Here is a 6,602-nt window from a genome sequence, read left to right as displayed (position 1 = left end):
AGGGAAACTCCTGGGCTTCCTCTTTGCAAGCACCCTGACTCGCCAGCCTCTGCTTTGGCCCCTGAAGAGGAAGACCTGAGGCTCGGGACTCTTGCCCTACCGGGACAATGCCCTCTTCTACAGAGGACCTGGAGCCTGGGAGTGCAGGACAACACCCACGGCAGTGAGAATCCCTGGGCAAGTGTCCTCCGAGGCCAGAGATCAGGGTCACCAAGTCAGCACAAGTCAGAGGACCTGGCCCATGGCTTGATCACATGCTCAGCACACACAGTCAGTCCCACTGGTCCCATTTTATCCTCTCCTCTCAGAAAGGAAGGCAGTAGAAGCTTCTGAGCCCCAAGTGTGCACACACTGTACTGGATATTACAGCGGGAAAAATCCCACAGAAACAGAAATACTGCATTGAGAATTAGAAACCAAAGAATCTGCCCTAAATACAATGTTAGCCAACATTTATTTACACTGAACAACACACTTTTCACAGACAGTATCTCATTGGATACACCAACACTAAGATGTTGGTCAATATTGACACCCTCATTTTTCAGATGATGAAACAGGCTCAGAGTAGTTTAGTTGGTTGCTTAAGATCACACAGCTGGACAAATTGGGACTCACACCCAGGTTCTCAATTCAGATTTCAAGCTCAACCAAAGCATGATATAATGTAAGGGCTTACATGTTATTGAACAAAGAAGTAACTAACAGATTGGTGCAAATTAATCTCCATCATCCAGTCACATAGTGTTGTGAGATTTATAAAGATCTTTCCCGTCTCATTTGAGCCTCACAACAACCCTGTGAGATTTCACACGCTTTGCTTTACAGGTGGGAAACCTGAAGCACAGATAAACCAGTTTCTCCAAAACCACACCGTAAGTGGTAGAGCTTTAGAAAAACAAAAAAAGAAAAGAAAGGAATAATAATTTTTTTAAAAAAGCCATAGGTCTTTGCGCTTTGATTCTCCCGAGAAGCCCAACACTCTTAACAATCACTGTATCTCCAGGTTTTAATATAATGCCAGACACATAGGAGATGCTCAATAAATATTTGGTGAATAAATGAAAGAATGAATGAGAAAGCGAACGGAATTAAATGAGATTATGAATGGAAAAGAGACTTAAAAGCTGACGCAGTCTACAAGTAAGGGATTGTTAAAGCAATTATTATCTCCCTCACTCTCTCCCCTCTCCTGTTAGCCCCTCGGGCACTGGAGGTGGAATTCCTCTTCCCAACTTGGCTCTTCCACGCGGGGAGGAAGGGGATCTCCCAGGTGCCGGAGACCCTAGCACCCGCGTCTCACCCCCCACGCCCCCGCCGACTCGTCCGCTTCAGCTGGGAGAGAGAAGGGATAAGGGATGGGGGCTCCGGAGGCGCCATTGGGAGGGTCGTGGGAGGAGCCCCGAGAGGACGGGAGTGAGGGGGCGGGAGGGGAATGACGGCGGCGAGAACCCCGGCTGGGCGGGGCGGGCCCGCGCGTCCCGGCCGGGCTGCGGCGGAGCGAGCGGGGCCAGCGCTGCAGAAGGCGGCGGCTGGCTCTCCGGGACGGTCACATCCCGCTGCAGGGGCGGGCGGAGGCCGCCGCACTGCCTCCCGCACCGGGGACCCAGGCCAGCGTCCGGGCAACGCCCCCTGCTCCCGGACAGACTCCGTGGCCCGCTCGAGCCCTGGGGGCTCCGCAGACCCGCGCCCGCTCCGCCCGCAGCTCGGCCCCGCGCTGCCCGCGTCGCCGGGCCCGCGCCGGGATGGGGTAGGGGCAGCGCCACCGAGTCGGGCGATGGGCCGCCCTCTGGGCACCGAGCAGCCCCCCGAGGCCTGACCAACCGCGAGGACCGGCGGAGGTGGGTGTGGGCAGGGCGGACCGCACTCTGGGGCCGCCCGGGCAATGCGGGGGCGGGAGGGCGTAGAGAAAATAGGGCTGTTGTGAGCTGTGGGGAGCCCAGGAGAGCTGCTGCCCCCCGACCTCCGTGCGTTCTGGGCAGTCCTTGACCCCCCACAACTCCTGCCATCTCCAGGAGCCCCGCCTGGATGTCAAGCGGATGCCAAGCGGATGCCACAGTTCCCCCCCCAGCGGACTCCGTGGGGACATGGCTTCGCTGGTGCCCCTTTCCCCATATCTAAGCCCCACGGTCCTCCTGCTGGTCAGCTGTGACCTGGGCTTCGTGCGAGCAGGTAAGTAAAGGGGAACGGGGCTGAGGGTCAACCACAGCTAGTCAATGGGTGAAACCTGTTAAACACCCTGGCTCCCGCAGACCGGCCTCCCTCTCCTGTGAATGTGACGGTCACTCACCTCAGAGCCAACTCGGCCACTGTGTCCTGGGACGTCCCAGAAGGCAACATCGTCATTGGCTACTCCATTTCCCAGCAAGTATGAATCACCCTTCTGCTCCCCCAACCTGTGTCCTTGGATTTCGGCACATTTCTTCACTTAAGTGGGGGGGATCTGGAAGCTGGCGTATCCTGGCTCAGGCTGCCCTTTTCACGCTACTCCCCCGGAGTGCTTGGATGTTGAAGAGTCTCTGGTTGAGCCTTGTGGCCTGGCACTGGGGTGAGGCTGTCCTCCTCTCCCCTCATCTCCCTGCAGCGGCAGAATGGCCCCGGGCAGCGTGTGATTCGGGAGGTGAACACCACCACCCGGGCCTGTGCCCTCTGGGGCCTGGCTGAAGACAGTGACTACACAGTGCAGGTCAGGAGCATCGGCCTTCGGGGAGAGAGTCCCCCAGGGCCCCGGGTGCACTTCCGAACTCTCAAGGGTTCTGACCGGCTACCTTCAAACAGTTCAAGCCCAGGTGAGGATCTGTGCTATTGGATTCTCTGGCTGCTTACCTGGCTTGCAGCCTCTTACTTACTTCCCCAAGACAAGCAACAGACTAGCTGAGTTGAATAGGATGATTTAATTCATTGTACTGCCAGGAAAGGAAAGAAAAGCAGGTGGGAAGGGGATTGGGTATAGACAGGCTGGTATTGAGTTGTTTGGGGGAAGGCCTTTTAAGCTTCCTGTTACCCAACTTCACATCAGCTGCAGCCTGCATGAGTGAGTAATTAACCTGCAGCCATCCCGCTTTTTGGTCGCTAACCACCTGTCCACCAACGGCTTCCTCCCAGGGAGGGGCTACCCTACACTCCAAGGGCAACATTATGATGGGTCCACCCTTTCTAATCCCCAGCATCTCCATCCTGCATGTCTGCAGTATGGACCCCAGTAACCTGGAGTCTGCCTTCTGCCTTCTCCCTTCTCAGGTGACATCACAGTGGAAGGTCTGGATGGAGAGCGGCCACTGCAGACTGGGGAAGTGGTCATCATTGTGGTGGTGTTGCTCATGTGGGCTGGTGAGTAAGCAGCTAGACAGGGGACCAGGGACTCAGTAAAGGTGTGAGGTGGCAAAGGTTGTCAGGAGAAAAAGAAGTGAGAGATACAGTGGCTCACGCCTGTAATCCCAGCACTTTGGGAGGCCAAGGCAGGCAGATCACCTGAGGTCAGGAGTTTGAGACCAGCCTGGCCAACATGGTGAAACCCGTCTCTACTAAAAATACAAAAATTAGCAGAGTGTGGTGGAGGGCGCCTGTAACCCCAGCTACTCAGGAGGCTGAGGCAGAAGAATTGCTTGAACTCAGGAGGTGGAAGTTGCAGTGAGCGAGCCGAGATCATGCCACTGCACTCCAGCCTGGGCAACAGAACGAGACTCTGTCTCAAAAAAAAAAAAAAAAAAAAAGTAAGAGAAATAGAGTGGAGTGGGGAGATACTTAGTTCAGGAGGGATGATTTGAACTTTGAAGAGAGGGAGAGGAGGCTGTTGAGAGCCCAGAGAGGAGGACTGCATGGGCACCAGGAATTCAGGATGTTCTTCATGGATTTTCTAGAAGCTACGTAGGTATCTCCCTATGAGGGGGGAAGTGGAGATGAAGGCTCAGACTGTATTGTGTTTCAGCTGTAATTGGGCTGTTCTGCCGTCAGTATGACATCATCAAGGACAATGACTCCAACAACAATCCCAAGGAGAAGGGAAAGGGGCCGGAACAGAGTCCTCAGGGAAGGCCAGTGGGGACAAGACAGGTGATGTGGGGGCCAGTGAGGGCGGAAAGGGTGATTCTGCCCCTGAGGGGCAGCCAGGGAAAGGAAGAAGGTCAAAGAGGGGCAGAAAAAGATGGAGAATGGAAGATCTGGGATGGGGGAGGCTGGAGAGAAAGGGTGGCACCTATTACCTTCCTGAAGTTGAGACTCAGGCCATTTTCTTTCACAGAAAAAGTCACCATCTATCAACACCATCGACGTTTGAGTGAAGAAACACACCCAGAAGAGAGATGCACTAACAACTGGGGATAGGGATGGGGTCAGGGGGAGCCCAAGATGGTGATCTGCCCGAGACTCCCAGAGGGTAATGCCACTCCCACAATCTCAGGCCTGGTACCCATCCTCTTTCCACTGTGAGCAGAGCCAGAAGGTAGGTCTGTTCAGAGTCTGTGCCCCTGGACCTGGGGAGTGGATATCAGATGGGATATCTCCTTCCATTCCCCGGTCCAGGGGAGAGTCACTAGTTGTACCCTACTCCATTAGGTCCCAAATGGGGGCCCCATTTCACCTGTATCAGGACTCTGAGCATCCCCAGCTGCCCCACATCTTGCCTCTGGCCCTCAGAGAGGGGTGTTTCTGTGGGTACTCCTCTTACCCCAGCAAATAAAAGGAATTGTCTGACCCTAGAGGCAGATGCTGCACTGCACTACTCCAATGTCTTCCATGGAGCCTCAGGTGCTCCCCCTCTCACCTGGCAGCCCCTTCAGCTGCTAGTGATATCACTTGTTGGACATTTTTCCAATAAAGGTTCTTGGACAAACTGGAGCTGACTGTATAGTATGCTGAAGACATTTCCTCACCTTGTCTCTCTCCTGACCCTCCAAGGGCCCCTTACACCATCACCTACTTGACAGGAGCATTGCAAGGTGTGATAATACCCCACCCTAGGATAGGGCCAGGAAGAAGAGGTATAGAAAACTAACCCCAGATTCTTTTGCTTTGTTGGGTGAGAAGGGGAAAAAGAGAAGAGAAAGATATAAGTTCCTGCACCACTGAATACTAATACATATCATATGAGAGGGTAGTAGCCTTTTTATCTTCACTGCTTGCATCGACAGCACAGCTCCTCACCACTTACTCTTCTGACTCCTCCATCAACCCTGGGCTAATGGTCAGAAAAGGACTAAGCAGTGTCTTGGGGACTAATGAAAGGACAGCTACACTCATGGATTCCTTGGTGCCACATGCTCCTATCCTATGTGTTCCTGTGTCTGTTCTTCCCTCTTTTGCATTCCCTTTCATCTCTGTCTCTGTTTAGTCAGTCAAAGTCAGTAATAACTGTAATTCATAAATGAGTTTATATTCATGCTCTGCCACCATATCCAGAGGAGGATTCTGAAAATAAAACTGAGGGGTTGGGACTCCCCTGTCAAAATAATTCTCATTTGAGCTCTGAGGCCTACTTGTTTCCTGTGAAAATAGGGGCTGTCCTCTGCTCTTTCCTATTTTCTAAGGGGTGGTTGGTGGCCATGAGACAAACACCTGTTGACACTTGCAAACCACTGTGGGGGAAGGCTTCTGGACCCACAGTCTGTCTGGAGAGCATATGTTACACTTCCTGGAGAGTTACAGATCTTCCCAACTTTGGATCATTTCAGAGCAGGCTTATGAATAACTCCTTTCTGCATTTCAATCTCTCTGGTATGTTAGAAGATAGGCCAAAAATTCTGAACGGGACTCCAAAGATCAACAAGTCAGTCTCTTTTCTACTTAACCAATCTCTAACCCCAGGTATCACAAGACAACCTATCGGGTGAGCCAAGTCAGGTCTGCCCTCAAAACTGAACCACAGGCCGAGAACGGTGGCTCACGCCTGTAATCCCAGCATTTTGGGAGGCCAAGGCGGGCAAATCACCTGAGGTCGGGAGTTTGAGACCAGCCTGACCAACATGGAGAAACCCTGTCTCTACTAAAAATACAAAATTGGTCGGGCGTGGTGGCACATGCCTGTAATCCCAGCTACTTGGGAGGCTGAGGCAGGAGAATCTCTTGAACCCGGGAGGCAGAGGTTGCAGTGAGCCAAGATCGCGCCATTGCAGTCCAGCCTGGGCAACAAGAGTGAAACTCTGTCTCAAAACAACAACAACAACAAACTGAACCATAAAAACATTCCAATGTAAACAGCAGTCTTTAACCCACCATTACCCAATTAGGAAGTAGGGTACCTTACGTTTCTTTGGCAGCTAGTTCCAAAACACTCATCTTCCAGATTCTGAGAATAAATGTCATTTATTGGGATGGGAATGTGACAGGTTATAGTATCGTGGCATGGAGAGAGCGAGCTAGGAGTTGAGAAGGAACATAAAAGCTGTTTAAAGCTACTAACTCTGGGTTGAACTCCAGTTCCAAGTCCTTCGCTGGCTGTGTTAGTTTGAGCAAGTGCCCTGAGTCTCCTGTTATGTAAAATGAGACTAATAATAACGCTATCCCCTTCAAAAGGTGGTTTTGGGATTAAATGATATAAATGCACGTACAATACTTTACACAGTACCTGGCAGACACATACTGAGTATTCATCGTTAGCTATCGTT

General features: G+C 52.3%; 1 protein-coding gene across 3 annotated transcripts; it reads left to right on the top strand.

Moving 5' to 3' along the window:
* FNDC4 (fibronectin type III domain containing 4) lies at positions 1,519 to 4,836 on the top strand. 3 transcript variants are annotated; one of them, NM_022823.3, is made up of 7 exons: positions 1,519 to 1,841; positions 2,016 to 2,172; positions 2,253 to 2,368; positions 2,585 to 2,789; positions 3,241 to 3,330; positions 3,929 to 4,053; positions 4,241 to 4,836. In NM_022823.3, the coding sequence occupies exons 2-7, from the start codon at positions 2,040 to 2,042 to the stop codon at positions 4,274 to 4,276; spliced, it is 705 nt and encodes a 234-aa protein (NP_073734.1). In that variant the 5' UTR covers positions 1,519 to 1,841; positions 2,016 to 2,039; the 3' UTR covers positions 4,277 to 4,836. The 3 variants fall into 3 exon arrangements, with proteins under 3 accessions (NP_073734.1, XP_005264556.1, XP_047301427.1); XM_005264499.5 differs by lacking the exon at positions 3,929 to 4,053; XM_047445471.1 differs by lacking the exon at positions 1,519 to 1,841 and having other exon boundaries at positions 1,921 to 2,172.

The sequence above is a fragment of the Homo sapiens genome, chromosome 2 (assembly GCF_000001405.40).
Source record: "Homo sapiens chromosome 2, GRCh38.p14 Primary Assembly".
In the NCBI taxonomy this organism is placed as follows: domain Eukaryota; kingdom Metazoa; phylum Chordata; class Mammalia; order Primates; family Hominidae; genus Homo; species Homo sapiens.
The sequence above is the reverse complement of the archived record's forward strand: the minus strand, read 5'-3'. Positions and strand labels throughout refer to the sequence as shown.

Bases quoted from the DNA above. Each gene is read 5' to 3' on its own strand.
- FNDC4 (NM_022823.3), top strand. From the start codon at position 2,040: ATGCCAAGCGGATGCCACAGTTCCCCCCCCAGCGGACTCCGTGGGGAC. The intron at 2,173-2,252 runs GTAAGTAAAGGG...TGGCTCCCGCAG, and splicing joins CCTGGGCTTCGTGCGAGCAG to ACCGGCCTCCCTCTCCTGTG. The intron at 2,369-2,584 runs GTATGAATCACC...ATCTCCCTGCAG, and splicing joins GCTACTCCATTTCCCAGCAA to CGGCAGAATGGCCCCGGGCA.